The sequence below is a fragment of the Homo sapiens genome, chromosome 12 (assembly GCF_000001405.40).
Source record: "Homo sapiens chromosome 12, GRCh38.p14 Primary Assembly".
In the NCBI taxonomy this organism is placed as follows: Eukaryota; Metazoa; Chordata; class Mammalia; order Primates; family Hominidae; genus Homo; species Homo sapiens.
Genome location: NC_000012.12, coordinates 2,913,089 through 2,938,515, shown reverse-complemented (window position 1 = coordinate 2,938,515; position 25,427 = coordinate 2,913,089). Strand labels below are relative to the sequence as shown.

General features: G+C 44.4%; 1 protein-coding gene and 1 non-coding gene across 3 annotated transcripts in view, besides 2 other annotated features; both read right to left on the bottom strand.

Moving 5' to 3' along the window:
• Positions 1–25,427, bottom strand: part of TULP3 (TUB like protein 3) — a 50,248-nt gene that overhangs the window by 2,623 nt on the left and 22,198 nt on the right. For both annotated transcript variants that reach the window (NM_003324.5, NM_001160408.2), the window contains exons 3-10: positions 17,594–17,753; positions 16,114–16,254; positions 8,171–8,268; positions 7,276–7,479; positions 4,986–5,098; positions 3,955–4,069; positions 787–885; positions 231–402 (exon numbers count right to left, since the gene is read on the bottom strand). In NM_003324.5, coding sequence (NP_003315.2) covers positions 231–402; positions 787–885; positions 3,955–4,069; positions 4,986–5,098; positions 7,276–7,479; positions 8,171–8,268; positions 16,114–16,254; positions 17,594–17,753 — 1,102 coding nt within the window. The remainder of the gene's footprint in view (positions 1–230; positions 403–786; positions 886–3,954; positions 4,070–4,985; positions 5,099–7,275; positions 7,480–8,170; positions 8,269–16,113; positions 16,255–17,593; positions 17,754–25,427) is intronic.
• On the bottom strand, positions 9,491–9,551 carry LOC124903097 (U7 small nuclear RNA). Its single transcript, XR_007063620.1, has one exon. It is a non-coding gene; the product is annotated as a U7 small nuclear RNA (small nuclear RNA).
• Positions 15,037–15,543: an enhancer, noted in NCBI's record as "H3K4me1 hESC enhancer chr12:3032139-3032645 (GRCh37/hg19 assembly coordinates)". NCBI's record gives its function as "activates a minimal SCP1, AML or CMV promoter by ChIP-STARR-seq in naive H9 embryonic stem cells {active_cell/tissue: H9 hESC(naive)}" and the evidence as "EXISTENCE:reporter gene assay evidence [ECO:0000049][PMID:30033119]".
• Positions 18,979–19,273: a silencer, noted in NCBI's record as "tiled region #7040; HepG2 Repressive non-DNase unmatched - State 15:Elon". NCBI's record gives its function as "represses a minimal TATA promoter and a strong SV40 promoter by Sharpr-MPRA in HepG2 cells {active_cell/tissue: HepG2}" and the evidence as "EXISTENCE:reporter gene assay evidence [ECO:0000049][PMID:27701403]".

Genomic DNA, 25,427 nt, shown 5'->3' with positions numbered 1-25,427 from the left:
CCAACTTCTCTGATTTGCTATAGCATCTCTCTCACACTCCTCTCCCCTCCTCAACACAGTGATTTACAAGTTTTCTCTAAAACTGTAGTTTCATCTTTCCAAAGAAATCCTGTCTCTCCTCCATGATTATCTGCTGACTGTCACTTCCTATCATGTACAGGGAATGTGCATTCCCATCCTGTAAGAGCATCTGTCCTCCTCTTCCCACCCAACCCCTCCTGGAGGCTTACGGTCATTTTTGTGGACTATCTGGAAGTTCTTCACAGACGCCTGAGTGACCCGGCCACGGAAGTTGAGGACATAGGACTGAGTGTCACTGTTCCAGACGGGGGCCTTGTTGTGCAGCTCAACCAGATTTTCCATAGTTCTGTTCTGCCACCTTGAGAGCAAACTGTCATGGTTCTGTCCAAAGGGAAAATCATTACTTTGTACTGAGAACTCCAACTCTACGAGGTAGAAGGTAGAGTAGGAGAATACTTTCTCCATTTCAGAAAGGGTAAACCAGAAGCGAAGAATGAAAGCCAACAATGAAGACAGGTTTTTTTTAAAATTATTCTACATCATCCAGCATTTCTCTTTGTAGAAAAAATGGTTTCAAGGCAATGACTCTGCAACTGCTCTTATCCTGAGGTTTTGGAGGGGCAGCTTTCCTAAAGAAGTGTATGGAGCTATCTCCAGTGTGGGGCTCTGGAAGCTCAATCTTTTTTTTTTTTTTTGTATTAATCTCTGTGTATTGTACTACTGTCTTTTAGAGTCTTTCACTGATTTAAATACATTCTTACTCACGTTTTGTGGCTGATAGGGGATCTGCTTATGATTCAGTGTCATTCCAGGAATGATCACAGACATTTTCCTAGGACCTTTAAATCCAAGTACGTTTGTTTCCTGGAAGATAGGAAAACAAAGCAGAACTTGGAAACAGGAAAAAAATAGAGACCACATTCTTTTATAACATGAGACTTTCTTGGGAATGTAAGATGCTGACAATATCAGCTGTATCAGCCGGGGCAGTGGATCACGCCTATAATCCCAGCACTTTGGGAGGCCGAGGTGGGCAGATAACCTGAGGTCAGGAGTTTGAGACCAGCCTGGCCAACATGGTGAAACCCTGTCTCTACTAAAAATACAAAAATTAGCCAGGCGTGGTGGCAGGCGCCTGTAATCCCAGCTACTCGGGAGGCTGAGGCAGGAGAATTGCTTGAACCCAGGAGGCAGAGGCTGCAGTGAGCCGAGATCACGCCGTTGCACTCCAGCCTGGGCGACAAGAGTGAGACTCTGCCTCAGAAAAAAAAAAAAAAAAAAAAAAAAAAAAAAATCAGGTGTACCAAAAATAATTTTATTACTTTGCTGTAAACAGAATCAAAAACAGGAAAGTAATATTATATCTCTTTATACTTCTCTTTTTTTTTTTGAGACAGAGTCACGCTCTGTCGCCAGGCTGGAGTGCAGTGGCACAATCTCAGCTCACTGCAACCTCCAATCTCCACCTCCTGGGTTCAAGCGATTCCTGTGCCTCAGCCTGGGACTACAGGCGCATGCCACCACGCCTGGCTAATTATTTTTTGTATTTTTAGTAGAGACGGGGTTTCACCAAGTTGGCTAGGATGGTCTCGATCTCCTGACCTCGTGATCTGCCTGCCTCAGCCTCCCAAAGTGCTGGGATTACAGGCGTGAGCCACTGCACCTGGCCTATACCTTCTTTAAACACCTACATTTAAAACAGAATCTCTTGGCTTGAGAGTTTACTCTTAACTATTTTTTTTTTGGGACCAGAGTTTCACTCTTGTTGCCCAGGCTGGAGTATAATGGCACAATCTCAGCTCACCACAACCTCCGCCTCCCGGGTTCAAGCAATTTTCCTGCCTCAGCCTGAGTAGCTGGGATTATAGGCATGCGCCACCACACCCGGCTAATTTTGTATTTTTTTTTTTTTTTTAGTCGAGACGGGGTTTCTCCATGTTGGTCTCGAATTCCCGACCTCAGGTGATCCGCCCATCTTGGCCTCCCAAGGTGCTGTGACTACAGGAGTGAGCCACCACGCCCGGCCTCTTACTCTTGAGTCTTAAATGTGATTTGAGATAACTGTGAACAAACTGTTCAACTTTGTCAGCACCAACACATATTTATTTCCCAGTGAGGGCATAGCACTATATTACATACAGTGAAAATTAGTTGTGGTTAAATAAGGCCTGCACTAGGTATTAAAAATGCCTGTCAAGCCAAGCAGATTATTCTTATTTTATTTTGAGATGGCGTCTTGCTCTGTCACCCAGGCTGGAGTGCAGTGGCACAATCTTGGCTCATTGCAACCTCTGCCTCCTGGGTTCAAGCGATTCTCCTGCCTCAGCCTCCCGAGTAGCTGGGATTACAGGTGCCTGCCACCACGCCTGGCTAATTTTTTTTGTATTTTTAGTAGAGACGGGTTTTTGCCATGTTGGCCAGGCTGGTCTCCACCTCCTGACTTCAGGTGATCCACCGGCCTCGGCCTCCCAAAGTGCTGGGATTACAGGCGTGAGCCACCACGCCTGGCCGATTATTATTATTTTTTAAACAGGGTCTCATGCTGTCGCCCAGGCTAGAGTGCATGGTGTGATCACGGCTCACTGCAGCCTCGACCCTCCTAAGACTCAGGTGATCCTCTTGCCTCAGTGCCCCCAGTAGCTGGGACTCCAGCGACTGCCACCATGCCCGGCTAATTTTTGTATTTTTAGTAGAGATGGGGTTTCACCATGTTGCCTAGGCTGGTCTCTCCTGGGCTCAAGTGATCTGCCCACCTCAGCCTCCCAAAGTGCTGGGATTACAGGTGTGAGCCACCAAGCCCAGCCAAGCCAAGCAGATTATATATGAAAGCTATAGAGGAAAGACACCTTACATTAAAGTGTGAAGTCAAATGGTTCTCAGGCATGTAGATAAGATCTCATGGGATTAATTTCAACTTAAGAAAGTTGAGACTTTGGAATAAAAAAACCAGCTGAGATGGGTCAATTCCTTCTTGCTTTCTCTTACTCAACAACTCTTTGAATATCTACTGTGTGCCAAGCCATGTGCTAGTATGGATATAGCCATGAGTAAGAATTCACAAGTTTACAAACTGGTGGAAACGGTTCATGTTGAACAAGTAATAACAAATACATGTGGGTTACAAATGCTACAAGGACGCAGATGAAGGAATGTCAACCACATCTAGTGGAGTACATCAGAAAAGACTTTGATAAGGCAAAAGGCCAGAAAGAGGAAAAGGGAAGCCTCTCCAAGGAGGAAAGATGAGTGTGGTTGGACAAAGGAATGACAGGAGGGCTGCTTGGCTAGAATGATGGGAAGGAGGGGCATGCCAATAGAGAAGTCTGAAAGCAAATGCTACCATGTTAGATCTCACACAATGGGTAGTCACTAAAAGATTTGAAGCAGAACAGGAGGATCAACTGGAGCCTCGTTGTAGGAAGATTCATTTGGTGGCAGCAGAGAACGAGCTAGATAGTTCTCAAGCCTTTCCCGGGTGTGAAATGAAATGAAAAAGGACAATAAAACAAATAATAATAAGATACAATTTAAAAAGAAGTGGACTATAAATGCCAAAAAGAGGAAAAAAAATAAGAAAAAGAGATTAAAAAGAGAAAAAAGAGAATGAACTAGATAGGAAAAGATTAAAAGCAAAAAAAGATCAGCTTTAATTTATTGTAACCTTTGGCCACTGGGTAAGAAGTAAAGGTCTGAATTAAGTGGCAGCAGGAAAAAAGAAAAGGAAATAAGGGAAGAAATGTTCTGAGAGTGAAAAATAATTGAACTTGGCAATTCAAATAACTAAAACTCAAATACATGGAGAAAATGGTACAGCAACAGAAATCACAGAAATAGAAACAAGCTTGGGAGGGGAGGTTCTTCAGCGACACTAGGTGAAAAGTGCCAGCAGGACACCAGGAGGGCAGGCAGCGGCCCTGGGAAAGCAGCACTCACATAGGAGATGGCAGCCAGCTCCTGCCGGGTGTGGGCCGCTCCTACCAAACCCCGGCCCTTCATGGGGCAGATGCCACGGTCATAAACTGTAAACTTGGTCCCCATGAGGTTGGATCTGGAGTCAGGAGAAAAAGTCACCATGATGATCTGTATTTTTTTTCTTATACAAACACAATCTAAGAGAAGGAAAATGGAAGCCTATTTGCCTGTTTTCCAAATGTCTCAATGTTCATCATCACTTTTTCAAAAATATCTCATTAAAGCAAGGAAGGAACTGAGATTTTCTTTTAACTTTTTATTTACTTACTAATTCGAGACAGGGTCTCGCTCTGTCGCCCAGGCTGGAGTGCAGTGGCAGGGATCATAGCTCACTGCAGCCTCAAACTCCCAGGCTCAAGTCATCCTCCCACCTTAGCCTCCTGGGTAGCTGGGGCTACAGGTGAGAACTGCCACGCCTGGCTAATTTTAAAGTTTTTTGAAGAGATAATGTCTCAGTGTGTTGCCCAGGCTGGTCTCAAACTCCTGGCCTCAAGTGATCCTCCACCTCAGCCTCCCCAAATGCTGGGATTATAGGCCTGAGCCACCACACCAGCCTTATTTTTTTATTTTTTTGAGACAGACTCTCATTCTGTTACCCAGGCTGGGGTGCAGTGGCACTATCTTGGCTCACGGCAACCTCTGCCTCCTGGATTCAAGCAATTCTCGTGCTTCAGCCTCCCGGGTAGCTGGAATTACAGGCTGTTCTACCACACCTGGCTGATTTTTGTATTTTTAGTAGAGAGGGAGTTCTGCCATGTTGGCCAGGCTGGACTCCAACTCCTGACTTCAAGTGATCCGCCCGCCTTGGCCTCTCAAAGTGCTGGGATTACAGGTGTGAGCCACTGCGCCCAGCTTTTTTTTTTTTCCTTTTTCTTTTTTTTTAAGATTACAACATCAATACATGCTAGTTGTAACCAAGATAAGGACTGTTCTGCAACTATAGGAATAAGACTATCAGAAAGAATAGGACAGTGATCTAAGGTTGCTTTCACCTAAGCTTGCCGACATAACTTTCTCCTTCACGAGATAAATCAACTGGATCAATGGAGATAAGGTAGTTGGCTGTTTTGCTCTTTTTCCGCTTTCTAGCTGCAAGAAGAAATATCTGGGAAAAGAAAAAGTGTCAGTCAAAAATGAAGTCCAGAGAACCTGCCCCACCTCTGGTCATGGTTGTCCTACATATTCATTCAGCCAGTGCTTAGCAAGTCCTCAGCATATGTCAAGCTGTTAATCTTTGGGCCTTTATCCCTTTCTCTAACTCTCTTATCAGAATTCACTATCAGGCAGGGTGTGGTGGCTCACGCCTGTAATCCCAGCACTTTGGGAGGCCGAGGTGGGCAGATCACAAGGTCAGGAGATCGAGACCATCCTGGCTAACACCGTAAACCCTGTCTCTACTAAAAATACAAAAAATTAGCTGGGCGTGGTTGCAGACGCCTGCAGTCCCAGCTACTCAGGAGGCTGAGGCAGGAGAATGGCATGAACCCAGGAGGCGGAGCTTGCAGTGAGCCGAGATCATGCCATTGCACTCCAGCCTGGGTGACAGAATGAGACTCTGTCTCAAAAAAAAAATAAAAAATAAAAATAAAATAATTCACTATCAGGGTTTTCTTCCTATACAGTTTTTCTAAATTCACTAGCTTGATTCTCCATATAATTAGTTACAACTTCATCCCTAAAACTTCCAGTTAAAAAAAAAATCTCCAAAGCTGGGCCAGGTGGCATGAGCCTATAATCCCAGCTGCTTGGGAGGCTGAGGTAGAGGGATCACTGGAGTCCAGGAGTTCAAGGCCAGCCTGGGCAACCTTGCAAAATCCAATAAATAAATAACAATCAATGTTCATCCAATGCCATGATTAAGAGTCTTTCCAACCTTAGGAGAGACAGGATCCTGAAAACCTTCCCATTCTTTACTGTGATGGCTTTTTTTTTTTTTTTTTTTTGAGATAGGGTCTCACTCTGTCACCCAGGCTAGAGTGCAGTGGTGCAATCACAGCTCACTGCAACCTCTGCCTCCCAGGTTCAAGTGATTTTCCTGCCTCAGCCTCCCGAGTAGCTGGAACTACAGGTGCATGCCACCACTCCTGGCTAATTTTTTAATTTTTTGCTAGAGGCAGGGTCTCCCCATGTTAGCCAAGCTGGTCTCGAGCTCATGTCCTCAAGGGATCCACCTGCCTCAGCCTCCCGAAGTGCTGGGATCATACGTGTGAGCCACCGCACCTGGCCTGTGATAGCTTTCTTCATGCCATGGGGACACAGACAGAGGAATGTCAACCACATCTGGTGAAGCACATCAGGAAAGACTCTGATTAGGCAAAGGGCAAGAAGGGACAAAAGGGAAGCCTCTCCAGGGAGGAAATACTCTTTTTTCTATACTGCTGTTGTGTTAAACCACTGTGACCTCAATGGCATGAATACCATCCTATATAGGCATCCTTCCTAAACTCTCCTAGACTAGGACCATAATAGGGAAGCAGGAGAGTGGCAGTGGCTAAGCAGGAAGACTTTAGAATTATGCAAAATAGGTTTGAATTTGGCTCTGCCACCACTTAGTGCAACGTGGGGTAGGTAAGTCACTCCCTAAGCCCCAGTTACCTCATCTTTAAAGCAGAGGTAAGAAATCCTACCTAACAAGGTGGCTGCAAGGATTACAGGTGATAATATATATAGATATATATGCATATGCTTGGTCTGTCGTAAACACTCAATAAATGGTGGTTAGAAGAATTAACACCTAGTATCATTATCTTATTTCTAGGCTCTTAAAATCATCTGTTAAGACCTGGTATTAATACAAAATTAATAAAATAAAGTTCATCGCTGGCTCAAACTTATAAAATAAATTAGAACTTCTAGGGTGAGAAACAAGACATTTAACTTGTAGGTCCTTCTGTATTTCTAATTCCTCCTATTCCCTAAAACTCACTCTCCTTCCACAATGTCATGTTCTTCCGTAATAAAAAGAAAAACCAAAAGAACAAACAGTAACATTCAAAAACTCAATCATGGGAGACAGGTGAAAATAATTACATTAACAACTACCCGTCCATTTTCCCACTTCGTGGATAAAGCTCTTATTTGTGGGAGGGTAGAGCTTGCTGCCTATTAGACCATGAGCTCTTTGCAGAAAATGAGAACACAGCATCTGGGGACTGAAAGATACAATCTACTTCCAGCTGGCTTGGTCTAATACCAGAGTTAGTTCCCTAAGGCCCATCAACAATCTATTCCCACAACATTCTTCTCTCTCTCAAGAGTTTTCTTAGAAATCAATTCTCATACCTTCTGATTTTCTTCTTTTTCCAAGTACATATAGTAGGTGGGGAAGAGACCCCGATCCATTCCCCTTTTATCCCGGATTATCCGACATCTTACTGTGACACCTTGAGGGGCAGGACTATACACAAAGTCCTCCAGGTCGTCTATGTCTCCCAGGAGGTTATCAGCTGGTTGGGCGGCAGTAGCAGAACCGGAAGTGCCTGTATCCTGAAAGGACAGCCATACATGAGCAACAACAGGCCGAGACTCAAAATCTGATTCTCTTTGAAAAACACTTAGTGGACAAAGCAACTTAGTAATTTACCCGTGTCTTCAGTCTTCTGACAGAATGAGGAAAACTGAAAAGTTAAATTAAGTATATGAATATTGAGAGTAATGAAGAGTAAGTATCAAAATGGGACAAAGCCTCACAATAGCTGACCTGAGACAGAAAAAATTAGATCATAAACTAAATTTGAGCTTACACTTCTGAAGGAACCCTCACTCAGTAATGGTATTTAAATACTGAAGATATGTTTGAGGGCTGGGCACGGTGGCTCATGCCTGTAATCCCAGCACTTTGGGAGGCTGAGGCGGGCGGATCACGAGGTCAGGAGATCGAGACCATCCTGGCAAACATGGTGAAACCCTGTCTCTACTAAAAATACAAAAAATTAGCCGGGTGTCATGGCGGGCGCCTGTAGTCCCAGCTACTCGGGAGATTGAGGCAGGAGAATGGCGTGAACCCGGGAGGCGGAGTTTGCAGTGAGCTGAGATCATGCCACTGCACTCCAGCCTGGGTGACAGAGCGAGACTCCACCTCAAAAAATACATAATAATAATAAATAAATAAATACTGAAGATATGTTTGAGAAAGAGTCAAATTAGCTCTAATGGAAGAAGTTTCAGAACTACATACGGTTGAATTCTGGCTTGATGCAGAATTGGGTCTTTCTAAACATGCTGACTGGGATATTCCATCAGTCTCCTCATCGAAGTTCACACTTTCAGAGATATCTAGCAGAAAAGGAAGAACTGTTAGCACTGCCAACACTGTTTAAAAAAGGTCTTTGAAACAAAGATAGTTTTAATTTTCTTGCTTAAAACATTCTTAACTATTCTGACCGTAAACACAACTATTTTGTCCAAATACATAAAACAGGCAAATTCATAGAGACAGAAAGTAGAATAGAGGTTACTAGGGGCTGGGGGCAGGGGAGAATGAGGAATTATCTTGAATGGGTGTGAAGTCTCTGGGATGATGAAAAAGTTCTGGAGATGGATGGTAGTGATGGTTGCACAACATTGTTAATACACTTAATGTCACTGAATCTCACACTTAAAATTGATTAAAGTTGTAAATTTTAGGCAGGGCAGGCTGGGCGCGGTGGCTCATGCCTGTAATCCCAGCACTTTGGGAGGCTGAGGTGGGCAGATCACGAAGTCAGGAGATTGAGACCATCCTGGCTAACATGGTGAAACCCCATCTCTACTAAAATACAAAAAATTAGCCGGGTGTGGTGGCACGCACCTGTAGTCCCAGCTACTCAGGAGGCTGAGGCAGGAGAATCGCTTGAACCTGGGAGGCGGAGCTTGCAGCGAGCCGAGACTGTGCCACTGTACTATAGCCTGGGAGACAGAGACTCTGTCTCAAAAAAACAAAACAAAAAAAATTTAGGCAGGGCACAGTGGCTCGTGCTTGAACTCCTAGCACTTTGGGAGGCTGAGGCAGAAGGACTGCTTGAGGCCACCAGTTTGAGACCTGTCTCCATAAAAAGTTTTTTTAAAAAAATTAGCTGGTCACGATGGTACCTGTGTGTCTGTAGTCCTAGCTAGCTGAGGTGGTTGGATCACTTAAGCCCAGGATTTTGAGGCTAAAGTGAGCTATGCTTGTGCCACTGCACCCCAGCCTGGGTGACAGAATTACACCCGAACTCTTTTTTTTTTTGAGACGGAGTCTCGCTCTGTCGCCCAGGCTGGAGCGCAGTGGCGCGATCTCGACTCACTGCAAGCTCCGCCTCCCGGGTTCACGCCACTCTCCTGCCTCAGCCTCCCAAGTAGCTGGGACTACAGGCGCGCGCCACCATGCCCGGCTAATTTTTGTATTTTTAGTAGAGACGGGGTTTCACCGTGTCAGCCAGGATGGTCTCTATCTCCTGACCTCGTGATCCGCCCGTCTCGGCCCACCCGAACTCTTAAAAAAAAAAAAAGTGTACTTTTTGTTATTTGGAAGGGAAGGGAAGGCTTCAGTAAAAACAGGAAAACTTGCTAGACAAATTCTAAAAAGAGCTGCAGCACTGGTAAATTATTATGATTTTTTGAGATGGAGTCTCACTCTGTTGCCCAGGCTGGAGTGCAGTGGCACCATCTCAGCTCACTGCAACCTCCGTCTCCTGGGTTCAAGCAATTCTCTTGTCTCAGCCTCCCCGGTAGCTGGGATTACAGGTGTGCGCCACGAAGCCCAGCTAATTTTTTTGTATTTTTAGTAGAGACAGGGTTTCACCATGTTGGTCAGGCTGGTCTCAAACTCCTGACCTCAGGTGATCTGCCCACCTTGGCCTCACAAAGTGCTGGGATTACAGGTGTGAGCCAACATGCCAGGCCAACACTGGTAACTTCTATGTTACGATGCATATTTTACCACAGTAAAAAAAAAATTCAATGATGCATTATTCTTTACAGCAGTTTTATTCCCCTCAGCATTTTCTTTTTATTTTATTTATTTATTTTTTTTGAGATGGAGTTTCGCTCTCGTTGCCCAGGGTGGAGTGCAATGGTGCAATCTGGGCTCACCGCAACCTCCGCCTCCTAGGTTCAAGCGATTCTCCTGCCTCAGCTTCTCGAGTAGCTGGGATTACAGGCATGTGCCACCACATCCGGTTAATTTTTTATTTTTAGTAGAGACGGGGTTTCTCCATGTTGGTCAGGCTGGCCTCGAACTCCCAACCTCAGGTGATCTGTCCGCCTAAGCCTCCCAAAGTGCTGGGATTATAGGCGTGAGCCACCATGGCTGGCCCCCTGGCATTTTCTTAATCTCTGTCTAGTTAACTAAATCTAACTAGGAATGTTTGAAATACTAGTACTTTGGATTTATGGAGCATCTTTTATAGGAAATTTAAAACTGCTGGATGAAAAACTATTTTTTCATTTTATTCTTACATTTGAGTTAGAGGAGGAGATACTGATAGTCTTTTTGTTTTCTATTGTTTCTTGTTCATGGAGTATATAATCTGGAGAGGAATGCAGATGTAAAATAAAGTGTGATCAATGTGTGTTATGAAAGAGTGACGAGCCTCAGATTTATATGTGGGAGTACAGGCTCAGGAAGAATCATTTCTCCAAGAGAAAGAGGCAGAGCAAGACCTAAACTAAATTCCCTTGTGTCTAGTATCTGCGGGGTGAAGTTACCCCTCACTGAAATGGTCCTTGAATCATAGATTTACAGATGGAATTAACAAGTGTGGCTTTTTTCTCTGAACCACTTTTTGTGCACATTCAACATCTCGGAAAGAAAAATGATCTATTTTTATACGGTACATACATAGATTGGTATTAGCTTTACTGAAGAACACAAGGATAAGACAAAGGTCAGTTTTAAAAAAATCAATCTCAGGCCGGGCGCAGTGGCTCATGCCTGTAATCCCAGCACTTTGGGAGGCCGAAATGGGTGGATCACAAGGTCAGAAATTCGAGATCAGCCTGGCCAATAAGGTGAAACCCTATCTCTACTAAAAATGCAAAAATTAGCCAGGCACCTGTAGTCCCAGCTACTCAGGAGGCTGAGGCAAGAGAATCCCTTGAACCCAGGAAGCAGAGGTTGCAGTGAGCCGAGATCACATCACTGCACTCTAGCCTGGGCGACAGAGCAAGACTTGGTCTCAAAAAAAAAAAAAAAAAATCAGTCTCAACTGAAAACATAGGTCCATACAAAAACTTATGAGTGTTGATAACAACATTATTCCTAACAGGGAAAGTGGGAACAATCAAACGTCCATCAGCTGATCAACAAAATGTGGTTTATCCATACAATGGAGTGTTATCCAACAATAAAAAGAATGGAGTACGGACACTTGTTATAACATGAAGGAACCCTGAAAACATTATGCAAGTAAAACACTAGACACAAAAAGACAAATAGTGTATGATTCTATCAATATGAAATGTCCAGAACAGGCAAATCCACAGAGACAGCAAGTAGACTGGTGGCTGCCTAGGGCTGAGGGGATTGGAGGGAAATGGGAAATGACTGTTGAAGGTTATGAGGTTTCTTTTGGGGGTGATGAAAATTTTGTAAAATTGATTGTGAAAATGGTTGTAGAACTCTGTACTGAAAACCAATTTATTGTTTATTTATTTAAAGACAGAGTCTAGCTCTTGTAGCCCAGACTGGAGTGCAATGGCGCGATGTCTGTTCACTGCAACTTCCACCCACAACGTTCAATCGATTCTGCTGCCTCAGCCTCCCGAGTAGCTGGAATTACAGCTGCCCACCACCACCACACCTGGCTACTTTTTTTTGAATTTTTAGTGGAAACGGAGTTTCACCACGTTGGCCAGGCTGGTCTCGAACTCCTGATGTCAGGTATCTGCCTGCCTCTGCCTCCCAAAGTGCTGGAATTACCGGCGTGAGCCACCATGCCTGGCCTATTGTTTACTTGAAATGGATGAGGAGTATGGTCTGTAATTTATATCTCAAAAGAGTTGTTACTTAAAAAAATTATTTGCTTTGCAAAGGACACTTTTTCCTTCTGCTGTCTAAAATACTAACTTATTATTTTTTGAGACAGGGTTTCACTCTGTTGCCCAGGTGGGAGTGCAGTGGCCAAATCACAGCTGCTCAGTGCAGCCTCAACTTCCCGGGCTCAAGTGATCCTCCCACCTCAGCCTCCTGAGTACATAGGACTACACCATGTCCAGGTAATTTTTTTGTAGAGATGGGGTTTCACCAAGTTGCCCAGACTGATCTCAAACTCCTGGGCTCAAGCGATCCGCCCACCTCGGCTTCCCAAAGTGCTGGGATTACAGGCATGAGCCACCACACCTGGCACCCCCCCTTTTTATTGGTAGCAGAAAGGCAGAAACTCCTGAGATATCACTATCGTATGGCTATCTTCACCTATTACTATGCTTTCAAATGCCATTTTAATACCAAGAACTCAGTTCCCGTGAATCTGTCTTGAGAGATCAAAGATCTCTCTGAAACTTTTAAGACAAGCAAATTGGACCCACTTACAGGGACATAATCTGCCAAACTGACACTTCTTAGAATTTAATCAAAACAGCACTTAATGGGTTTTATAGTCAAGATGCAACCTGTTGAGACATGAAAAGGCGTTAACTCACCTGGCACTGGAAGGCCAATTCTGAAAACGAACAGCCATTTCATAGAGCAGTGCACAAGGAGACAGTGTGGTGTTTACAGTCAGGGATAAAGAACCAGACTAAGAATCAGAAAATCTAAATCTGCCACTTTTCAGCTAGTTGACTCAGGGTGAGTAATTTAGCTTTGGTTAAATAGAAAATTATTTTTGCTCCGACTCATCCTATCTGTCCAACGCATATCTTTCACTTTCTTTTGTTGTAAAAATAGTGGTAGTAAAATAATAGGAAAGTACCATGGTCACCTTCATGTTAAAGACAGGAAAACTGTCTTTACAAACCCCCAAGGCACTATTACAACTATTAAATCAGATGAGGTAGTACATGTCAAGTGCCTGACACATGATGGACACTCACAATGTCAGGCTCCAGCTACTTCCCTGCTCCCCTAGCACGTAGGCAGACACACATCCTTCTTTGTTCAGCGGAATCACCCCCTCCCTTCCTCCTGGTACCTCTCTTGTCTCTTCTCATTGCCCTAGCAGAGCAATTCTGCATCTCCCCTGCCTGTGCTTTTGCAAACACCACACTATATTGGAACTGGAGGTCAGGCCATCATCAGTCAAACGATCTCCTAAATAGCTTTCCTGTTTCTGGACTTCCCCCTTCAATTCCTTCTTTCTGGTACACAGTAATTTTTCCACAGCTCAACTGTGATCATATCATTGTTCAGCTTAAAATTCCTCACAGGTTCTTACTGCTCTTTTTTTTTTTGAGACGGACGGAGTCTTGCTCCGTCGCCCAGGCTGGAGTGTAGTGGCGTGATCTCGGCTCACTGCAAGCTCCGCCTCCCGGGTTCACGCCATTCTCGTGCCTCAACCTCCCGAGTAGCTGGGACTACAGGCGCCCGCCACCACACCTGGCTAATTTTTAGTAGAGACAGGGTTTCACCGTGTTAGCCAGGATGGTCTTGATCTCCTGACCTTGTGATCCGCCCGTGTCGGCCTCCCAAAGTGCTGGGATTACAGGCATAAGCCATAGCGCCCAGCCCTATTTTTTTTTAATTAATTTTTATTTTTAATTTTTATTTTTTGAGACAGGGTCTCACTCTACACACAGGCTGGAATGCAGCAGCACAATCTTGGCTCACTGCAGCCTCGAACTCTGGGGCTCAAGCAATCCTCCCACCTCAGCCTCCCAAAGTGCTGGGGTTATAGGCATGAGCCACTCCACCCAACCCAATTTTTTTTTTTTTTTAATTTTTAAAGACATGGTTTCATTCTGTCACCCAGGCTGGAGTGCTGTGGCATGATCATAGCTCACTGCATCCTCAATAACCTGGGCTCGAGCAATCCTCCTAGCACAACCTCTCAAGTAGCTGGGACTACCAGTGTGTACCACCACACCCAGCTAATTAAAAATTTTTTTTTGTTAGAGACTGGGTCTTGCTATGTTGCCCTGGCTGGTCCTGAACACCTAACTTCAAGCAATACTCCCACCTCAGCCTCTTAAAGTGCTGGGATTACACATGTGAGCCACCATGTCCAGCCTTCTATTACTCCTTAGATAAAGTCCCAATTCCTGACATGGTCTATTAGGTCCCATATAATTAGAGCCCACTTCCCTCTCCTGGCTCATCTCTCTACATCCCCCTTCCTACCCTATGACCACACGCCCTGAGCTGCTGCCATTCTGAACTGGCCAGCACCTCTTCCTGAGTCAGGCACTAGCTCAAATATCACTTTCTCTGGGAAAGTGTCCAAGTGGAGTGAGGCGTCAGGCTCTCTCAGCACCTTGATTTTCTAGCTCTAGCCTATTTAAGTGCATGAAGCTTCAATTAGAATAAGCGCTCCATGAGGGCAGGAACCATGCTTACTCATGTATCCTAAGTACCTAGAATGTTGCCTCAGATATGGTATGTACTCAAACATATTTTCTTACTTTACTTCTGTTGTTGTTGTTGTTGAGACGGGGTCCTGCTCTGTAACCCAGGCTGGAGTGCAGTGGTGCAATCGCAAGCTTAGTGCAACCTCCACTTCCCAGGCTCAAGCCATCCTCCTGCCTCAGCCCCCCAAGTAGCTGGGACTACAGGTGTGCGCCACTGCACCCAGACAATTTTTTTTTTTTTGCATTTTTTGTAGAGACAAGGTTTCTCCATGTTGCCCAGGCTGGTCTTGAACCCTTGGACTCAAGTGATCTGCCCGCCTCAGCCTCCCAGAGTGTTAGGATTATAGGCATGAGCCACCATGCCTGGACTCAAAACATACTTTCTTTTTCTTTTCTTTTTTTTTTTTTTTGAGAAGTTTCACTCTTGTTGCCCAGGCTGGAGTGCAATGGTGCAATCTTGGCTCACTGCAACCTCTGCCTCCCAAGTTCAAGCAATTCTCCTGCCTCAGCCTCCAGAGTAGCTGGGATTAATAGGCACCCACCACCATGCTTGGCTACTTTTTTTATATTTTTAGTAGAGAAGGGTTTCACCATGTGCTGGTCTCAAACTCTAGACCTTCAGGTGATCCACCCACCTTGGCCTCCCAAAGTGCTGGAATTATAGGCGTGAGCCACTAAGCCTGGCCAAAACATACTTTCTAAATAAGTGAATATACAAATTTGTTTAAACGTTCATTTATTATGCCATTCCGTGGTAGAATCTCCTGATTCATATATGCCAGGACCTAGCAATGTTTGCCTAATGCAAAGTAGGTACCCAATACATATTCATTATTGGGCTTCAGTTTTCTCATCTGCAAAGGGGATGCTTAATCCCTTCTCATTATAAAATTATTTTTCGGCTGGGCGTGGTGGCTCACGCCTATAATCCTAGCTAGCACTTTGGGAGGCCGAGGCGGGCGGATCACCAGGTCAGGAGATTGATACCATCCTGGCTAACACCGTGAAACCCCGTCTCTACTAAAAAAATACAAAAAATTAGCCAGGCGTGGTGGCGGGCGCCTGTAGTCCCAGCTACTCAGGAGGCTGAGGCAGGAGAATGGCGTGAACCCGGGAGGCGGAGCTTGCAGTGAGCCGAGATCGCGTCACTGCACTCCAGCCAGCGCGACAGAGTGAGACTTTGTCTCAAAAAAAAAAAAAAAATTATTTTTCTAAAAAGGAAAGAAGACTACAAGGGACCTTTGAAATGTATGGGAATATTTATGGAAATGAGAGCTCCAACTAGAAGAAAGGCTATCAATCATCACCAACTATGAAATGGAGGTGGAGTAGAGGGGTTGAGTGACAACTCTGTCAGAAGAAGAGGGTGGGAACTGAAAATAGTCAAAAAGAAACAAACAGTCATCTATGGCCATCTATGGCAGCTAGTATTTTATATTTAATTATCTTCTTTTTCTCAGGCAACAGTATAAATACTACCATTGCTGACAATTACCAACATTCAGATGTAAAAGATGCTAAACACTGTCACCTCTGTGAGGCCCTAAGCCATGAGTCATTTTCAGTCATGTAGATTGTTACCCACAATGAAAAGAAAGGAAAAGATTACAATTGAGTAAGGAGACAAATTGCCTTAAAATCATTACCAGTCCTCACCATGCTTTTGGAGACGCTCCTGAAGTCCTGGCTTGGAAGCAGTATCCACGGTGTTTTCAGCATCTTCTTCCACAACAGAGGAGCTTACTGATGGAGCATGAACTTCGTCTGGTTTCAGGACAGCAGCTGGACCATCAATACCTAAGGGCCAAAATAAAATGAATTTTAAAAAAGGAGCAAAGTATTATTCACTAGTTGGGTAGATTTGGCATATGTGATCAGAATTAAGAACTACCAAATCATTTTATCTGCCCTCCTTTCTTAACATCCATAAGAACATTTGTTAAGAGAGAAGGTCAGAACTGGTGTTCTTTTTTTCTGAGACAGGATCTCACTCTGTCACCCAGGCTGGAGAGCAGTGGTGTAATCACAGCTCACTGTAGCCTCGACTTCCTAGGCTCAAACGATCCTCCCACTTCAGTCCCCCGAGTAGCTGGGACTACAGGTGTGTGCTACTACACCTGGCTAATTGTTAATTTTTTTGTAGAGATGGAGTCTTGTTATGTTGCCCAGGCTAGTCTCAAACACCTGGCCTTAAGTGATCTGCCTTTCTGGCCTCCCAAAGTGCTGGGATCACAGGTATAAGCCACCACGCCCAGCCTGGTGTTCATTTTATTAACATGCTCTGTTACTAAAGTCATATGTACTTGTACTTCAGTAACTGAAGTAATATGTACTTCAGAAACTTAAGAATGAGACCAAGAAAACAAAGTAGGTCCTCCATAGTACAGATCCTGTACAAGCCAATAGCTCCAGTGGCTTGATTTAGAGGCACTTACAATCTTATTCTTCCTCCGCCCCTCCCCATCTCAGATGATCCTTTCAACTATCTGTTGGAAGAATGGACGCTCTCTACCTATTCCCGGCTTCATGATTCACCTCTGCCACGATTTAACAATCAAGAGCTCCTCAAATAGGTCATTCTAAACTCATTCATCTGGCATCTAGAAAACAACAGTTCTTGCCGGGCATGGTGGCTCAAGCCTGTAATCCCAGCACTTTGGGAGGCCAAGGCGGGTGGATCACCTGGGTCAGGAGTTCGAGACAAGCCTGGCCAACATAGTAAAACCCCGTCTCTACTAAAAGTATAAAAAAATTAGCCGGGCATGGTGGCAGGCGCCTGTAAACCCAGCTACTCGGGAAGTTGAGGCAGGAGAATCACTTGAACCTGGGAGGAGGAGGTTGGCAGTGAGCCAAGATCGCGCCATTGCACTCCAGCCTGGGCGACAAAAGCAAAACTCCGTCTCAAAAAAAAGAAAACAACAGTTCTAAAATGGACGCAAACCTTAAGGCATCTTCCACTGATTATATCATTGCTTTTATTCTCCTCAAAGACCCCAAATGTGATTATAAAGATTTATGAAGGTACCTAGTAATGGTGCTAATAATATTGTCCCTTTGGTCCGTCTGACAATCCTCGTGCCTTCTAGGTTTGTGAAAATTGTACCCCACTAGGAAGTGATGCTGCCTAAATACACACCATGTAAGATGACATTGCTGTGGGGAGTATGACAGTTCACCAAGGGAGTCTGCTCATCACTGGCCCTTGGCTTTGCCCGACGTAGCCTGGCTTCTGGATTGGGCTGCACCATAAATGGCTCAAGGCGCTTTTTCCTTTGCCTCTTCTCAAGTAGTAGCCTCTGGGAAAAAAGCGATATGACAGCCAGCAAGGAGAGTTTTGACATGACCTAACCATTTCCAACATGCCCAGTTTGTTTTTCACTGATCCTCACAAAACATCTTGTAAATTATTTTTTCCCCATTTAAGAAATGGGAAAACTGAGGCACAGAGAGGAGTAAGGATTCAATCATTTCATTTAACAAATACTTTTGAACACCTAACACCTATAAAGATCTATTTAAAATCAGATGATGCTTTTTTTTTTCTTTTTTTTGAGACAGAGTCTCACTCAGTTGCCCAGGCTGAGTGCAGTGGCACCATCACAGCTCACTGCAGCCTTGACCTCCAAGGCACGCCCAATCCTTCTGCCTCAGCCTCCTGAAGAGCTGGGACTACAGGTGTGTGCTACCATGCCCAGCTATTTTTTGTATTTTTGTAGAGACAGGGTTTCCCGACATTGCCCAGGCTGGTCTCAAACTCCTGAGCTCAAGCAGTCTGCTTGCCTTGGCCTCCCAAAGTGTTGGGATTACAGGCGTGAGCCACTGCACCTGTCCCACACAGTGCATTTGTAACCAAGTCTACTAAAGATGTATGGGAATCATCATAGCATTATCAAATGTGACCACAAGCTCAAAACATACAAACACACATGCACGGAGGACAGATGGAGGAACACAGCAAGGGTGGTTTCTTCAGGTGGCAGACTATGGCATGATTGTTTTCTCTTTTCTAGTCTTTTTTTTTTTTTAAGTTTTCTTACTTTTGTAAATGGAAGAAAAAAACTTTATTATTCTCTAAAACTCAAATTATTTCCATGTTCTAATTAGTCAAAGGGCAGTAAGTTTGGCATTCTTGTTTATCTTATATAATTAGAAATCAAATTTGGATCAAGGGTGAGAAGAAAAAAATGGCAGTTGGAACATATCAAATAGAAAGCAGTCAACTCTATGAATAAAAGCAAGATAAAGACTATGGTAGCAAGAAAAGTCAGGAAACAAGCATGACAGACTATGAGAAAAAAAAACCAATGAAATGGAAAGGAAGGTACTAGCACATAGTACTAGTACCTTTTGGCAAATAAGGGTTTATAATATATAGAAATTATTATTGATCTGGGATAACTCAGAGTAGGAAAAATGTTAAGCCCCATGCTAAAAAATAAAGACATGATTAAAAAACAAATATATTATAACCCACTTACTACTGTTTTTCAGGCAAAAGAAGCCATCTGTTTACTTTTTTCCATCGATACTGTTTTAGAAAAGTGCCTCCAGGAAGAAGAGTCACTCCAAGGGGTGAGACTATCAAAAAAGGAAGTGTGTTTTTCCTGAACTGGGCTGATGAGAGCACACTGATTAATTCAATAGCTTGCATATAGAGGGAAAAGATTGGGGAGTTAAGATAACGTGCCAATACAGAATATACCATCAAGAATGAATAGGTGTTAGAGCAAGGACTAAGTTGTTTGGAGATTATTTTGAGATTTCATGAATTACCATGAATAGAAGGACATTAACCCAGGAACACTAAATACACAGGAGGCTATAATGACTTCCACCAAACAGAATTGGCCACTGAGATTCTTCTAGCAGCCGGGCGCAGTGGCTCACGCCTGTAATCCCAACACTTTGGGAGGCAGAGTCAGGTGGATCACTTGAGGTCAGGAGTTTGAGACCACCCTGGCCAACATGGTGAAACCCCGTCTCTATGAAAAATACAAAAATTGGCCTGCGTCATGGCGCATGCCTGTAATCCCAGCTACTCAGGAGGCTGAGGCAGGAGAATCACTTGAACCCAGGAGGTAGAGGTTGTGGTGAGCTGAGATCATGCCACTACACTCCAGCCTGGGTGACAGAGCAAGACTCGAGACTCTGTCTCAAAAAAAAAAAAAATTCTTCTAGCAACCAAGAGGTCTTGTATAATGGATAAAAAGTAACTTGCTGGCCGGGCACAGTGGCTCATGCCTGTAATCCCAGCACTTTGGGAGGCTGAGGCGGACGGATCACCTGAGGTCGGGAGTTCAAAGCCAGCCTGACCAACATGGAGAAACCCCGTCTCTACTAAAAACACAAAAATTAGCCGGATGTGGCGGCGCATGCCTGTAATCCCAGCTACTCGGAGGCTGAGGCGGGAGAATCGCTTGAGCCTGGGAGGCGGAGGTTGCGGCGAGCTGAGATTATGCCCCTGCACTCCAGCCTGTGCAACAACAGCAAAACTCCATTTCAAAAAAAAAAGTAACTTGCCTGAAAAGGTGGTAAATATGAAGTACTGAAATCATAAGAAACTGCCATATCTTATCTATGTGGCCACAGCTATTTCATCTCATACATAGTCTGTGAAATGATCGATGAAACAAAATCACATACTGTAGGCTGGGCGCGGTGGCTCACGCCTGTAATCCCAGCAGTTTGGGAGGTCGAGGTGGGCGGATTACCTGAGGTCAGGAGTTTGAGACCAGCCGGGCCAACATGGTGAAACCCCGTCTCTATTAAAAAATAAAATTAGCCAGGCGTGGTGGCAAGCGCCTGTAATCCCGGCTACTTGGGAGGCTGAGGCAGGAGAATCACTTGAACCTGGGAGGCAGAGGTTGCCGTGAGCCGAGATTGGACCACTACACTCCAGCCTGGGCGACAGAGCGAGACTGTCTCAAAACAAAAACAAAAACAAAAATGAATGCTGTAGCTATTTTTTGAGACGGAGTTTCACTCTTGCTGCCCAGGCTGGAGTGCAATGGTGCAACCTCAACTCACTTGCAATCTCTGCCTCCTGGGTTCAAGCAATTCTCCTGACTCAGCCTCCGGAGTAGCTAGGATAACAGGCACCTGCCACCACACCCAGCTAATTTTTTTTGTATTTTTAGTAGAGATGGGGTTCACATGCAAGGAAAATATTTTCTTTTTTTTTTGAGACAGAGTCTTGCACTGTCACACAGGCTGGAGTGCAGTGGCGCGATCTCGGCTCACTGCAAGCTCCGCCTCCCGGGTTCACGCCATTCTCCTGCCTCAGCCTCCCGAGGAGCTGGGACTACAGGCGTCCGGCACCGCGCCCGGCTAATTTTTTGTATTTTTAGTAAAGATGAGGTTTCACCGTGTTGGCCAGGATGGTCTCGATCTCCTGACCTCATGATCCGCCCGCCTTGGCCTCCTAAAGTGCTGGGATTACAGGCATGAGCCACCGTACCTGGCCAAGGAAAATATTTTCTATAGAAAAGGAGTTTTCTGCTGTGGTCTAGAAAAGGGAGGCCAAAGAGCTAGAATTTGATAGGGTTATCAGGTTTGTCCAAGAAAGAGAAGTATCTTTTTTTTTTTTTGAGACAGAGTCTCGCTGTGTTGCCCAGGCTGGAGTGCAGTGGTGCGATCTCGGCTCACTGCAACCTCTGCCTCACGGGTTCATGCAATTTTCCTGCCTCAGCCTCCCGAGTAGCGGGGATTACAGGTGCACCCCACCATGCCCAGCTGATTTTTAAACTTTTAGTAGAGATGGAGTTTCACCATGTTGACCAGGCTGGTCTCAAACTCCTGACCTCATTCCCTCTGATTCCTTGCTCACCAATAAGCCTTCTAATTTGAAGTTTAACTTCTTAGGTATCGTATTCCCAGGAAAAGAGTATTATGAACAGTAGACATGAATACACACTGAAAGAGTAGAGCTCCCTTTATAAATTAATAACTTGGGGTTCTGGTTTTAAAACTTACTGGTGTGGGTTTAACTAGCGTGAATTTGTGCCAAAGGACCTGGTTATATCCAGTTCACTGACAAACTAAGCTCTCACTTGTTAAGGGGAGACTAGACCCCTGACCACAGTGTTCCTGCCAAGGTATCTGGGGAAGCCTCTCTCTATCTACTTACAGACAAATCAAACTCATTTAGACCAATGACTTAAGAAAAAAACAACTGTAGACTCAAACTGTAATCAGGGCCACAGCTACTATACCTCAGTATTGAATGATCTTACTACTGTCCAAGTTTACAAATAAGAAAAATACCATTAAACATATATGTGCAAGCTGCCATCTTGGTGAAAACCGTCATGCAGTTTGGATGGGGGAGGAGAGAAGTGCTACTTGTGTTTGAATGTAACAATGTCAATTCCTATTCCATCTATATTTTACTTCCCTGAAAACCTAAAAGTGCTTTAAACGAGGCTACATCAATGAAGGACTCATTACCAAGATAGAGTAAGTCAGGGAGCCAGGAAGAAAGCCAGAGCTGATGGTTAGATGCCCTAAATGCAATTAAAACACACTGCCTTCGTGATTTTAAGTGTCATATAAACTAAAACTTAATCACTTTTAAATTTCCTAATTATCTTGGGAATTGAACTGTAAAAGAATCTATCTTCCCAAGAATTTAGTGGTATGTCTTACTATCCTGCTAAAATATTGAATGGTGATGTCAAAATAAACAGTAAGAAATTAAAGGAGATCAGATAGGTGGAAATTTCCATGAAATAACTTTATCCAATAAAATAATAAAGCTCTGACCGGCGCAGTGGCTCATGCCTGTAATCCCAGCACTTTGGGAGGCTGAGGTGGGCCGATCTCTTGAGGTCAGGAATTCGAGGCCAACATGCCGGAAACCCCATCTCTACTAAAAATGCAAAAATTAGCTGGATGTGGTGGCACAAGCCTGTAAATCCAGCTACTTGGGAGGCTGAGGCAGGAGAATTGCTTGAACCCGGGAGGCAAAGGTTGCAGTGAGCCAAGATCGCGCCATTGCACTCCAGCCTGGGCAACAGAGCAACCATCTCAAAATAAATAAAACTTCATTTAAATTAATGATAGTTTAACTAATTCTCAATTTTCCTAGACAAGGAGTCACCCTAGAGGTGATGGGCTAAGGTTACACTATGACAGTTTTCCAACAGACTGACCAACCACAGAGTACAACCAGCATCAGGCTAGTTGTCTGCAGTCTATCAGTTTGTTTAAAAATCTCGGCCGGGCACGGTGGCTCACGCCTGTAATCGCAGCACTTTGGGAGGCTGAGGCGGGCAGATCACGAGGTCAAAGGATTGAAACCATCCTGGCCAACATGGTGAAATCCCATCTCTACTAAAAATTAAAAAAATTAGCTGGGCGTGGAGGCATGCGCCTGTAGTCCCAGCTACTCAGAAGGCTGAGGGAGGAGAATCGCTTGAACCTGGGAGGTGGAGGTTGCAGTGAGCCTGAGCTGAGATTGCACCACTGCACTCCAGCCTGGCGACAGAACGAGACTCTGTTTCAAAAAAAAAAAACAAAATAAAAAAACTAACTTAATCTCCCCGCCCACAAAGCAAGATCATAGGAAGGTAAGACTAAAATTTTTAAACTAGACTTCTTAAAATATCATTCAGTGCAGTGATGACCTCTCATCATACAAATAGATGAGCAACTTGGCTCAAAGGAACTATGTTGTACTTTAATCCATTTTCATCAGACGAAATAAATGTACTCTACCTAATATGCATCCATGTCAGAAATATCACAGCAAGAATCAGAAAATCCATTCTGGGCTGGGCGCAGTGGCTCACGCCTGTAATCCCAGCATTTTGGGAGGCCGAGATGGGTGGATCACTTGAGGCCAGGAGTTTGAAACCAGCCTGACAAACATGGCAAAACCCTGTCTCTACTAAAAATACAAAAAATTAGCCAGGCATGGTGGCGTCTGCCTGTAGTCCTAGCTACTCGAGAGGCTGAGGCATAAGAATCGCTTGAACCCGAGAGGCAGAGGTTGCAGTGAGCCAAGATCATGCCACTACACTCCAGCCTGGGCAACAGGGCTACACTCTTGTCTCAAAAAAAAGAAAAGAAAAGAAAATCCATTCTGCAGCTTGCTAAGGTGCCCACATACCCTGAAAACGAGTATCTTGCCAGGTATGGTGGCTCACACCTGTAATCCCAGCACTTTGGGAGACCAAGGTGGCTGGATCACTTGAGGCCAGGAGTTCAAGACCAGCCTAGCCAACATGGTGAAACTCCATCTCTACGAAAAATACAAAAATTAGCCAGGCGTGGTGGTGCACTCCTCTAATCCCAGCTACTCTGGAGGCTGAGGCACAAAAATCACGTGAATCTGGGAGGCAGAGGTTGCAGTGAGCCAAGATTGCGCCACTACACTCCAACCTGGGCAACAGAGAAAGACTTCTCCTCAAAAACAAGAAAGAGTATCCTAGTGAAACTGGTAAAAATAAAAGCAAGATATACTCAACAGGAAAGTATTTCGATAAATGGTGTTGGGAAAGCTGAATATCTGAATGAAGCTGAATCTCTGTTTCACGCTATACACAGCAATTAATTCAAACATACAGTTAGACAGAAGAAATATGTTCTAGTGTTCAATAGCACAAGAGGGTGACTATAGTTAAGAATAATTTATTGGCTGGGAGTGGTAGCTCATGCCTGTAATCCCAGCACTTTGGGAGGCTGAGGCGAGCAGATCACCTGAGGTCGGGAGTTCGAGACCAGCCTAACCAACATGGAGAAACCCTGTCTCTACTACAAATACAAAATTAGCTGGGCGTGGTGGCACATGCCTATAATCCCAGCTACTCAGGAGGCTGAGGCAGGAGAACTGCTTGAACCTGGGAGGCAGAGGTTGCAGTGAGCCAAGATTGCGCCATTGTACTCCAGCCTGGGCGACAAGAGCAAAACTCCGTCTCAAAAAAAAAAAAAAAAGAATTATTTATTGTATATTTCAAAATAGCTAGAAGATTTGAAATGTTCCCAACACAAAGAAATGACAAATGTTTGAGGTGATGGATACCTTAAATAACATGATCATTACAATAATTTGATCATTACACGTTGTGTGCATGTATCAAATATCAAATATCATGTGTACCCCATAAATATGTACAATTATTATACGTCAGTTTTAGAAGTAAACCACAGAGGCCGGGCACAGTGGCTCATGCCTGTAATCCCAGCACTTTGGGAGGCCGAGGCAGGCGGATCATGAGGTTAGGAGTTCGAGATCAGCCTGACCAATATGGTGTAACCCAGTCTCTACTAAAAATACAAAAATTAGCCAGGTGTGGTGGCGCACGCCTGTAATCCCAGCTACTCAGGAGGCTGAGGCAGGAGAATTGCTTGAACCCGGGAGGCGGAGGTTGCAGTGAGCTGAGATTGTGTCACTGCACTCCAGCCTGGGGGACAGAGAAATACTGCATCTCAGAAAAAATAAATAAATAAAAATAAATAAACCACGGAAAGTGTAAAAGCTAAAACTATAAAACTTGACCAGGCATGATGGCTCATGCCTATAATCCTAGCACTTTGGGAGGCAGAGGAAGGAGGATCACTTGAAGTCACAAGTTTGAGACCAGCCTGGGCAACACTGCAAGATCCCATCTCTAAATACAGGAAGAAGAAAAGAAAAAAGAAAAATTAGCCAAGTGTGGTCGTGCATGCCTGTAGTCTCAGCTACTTGGGAGGCTGGGGTGGGAGGATCGCTTGAGCCCAGGAGGTCAAGACTTCAGTGAGCTATGACCGTATCACTGCACTCCAGCCTGGGTGACAGAGTGAGAACCTATCTCAAAAAAATAAAAAAAAATAAAAGGCCACCACACACACACACATACACACACACACACACACACAAACTCAACATAATTAGTCATTAGGGTAATGCAAATCAAAACTACAATGAGATACCACTTCACACCCACTAGAATGGCTCTAAATCACAGACAGACAATAACAAGTGTTGGTAA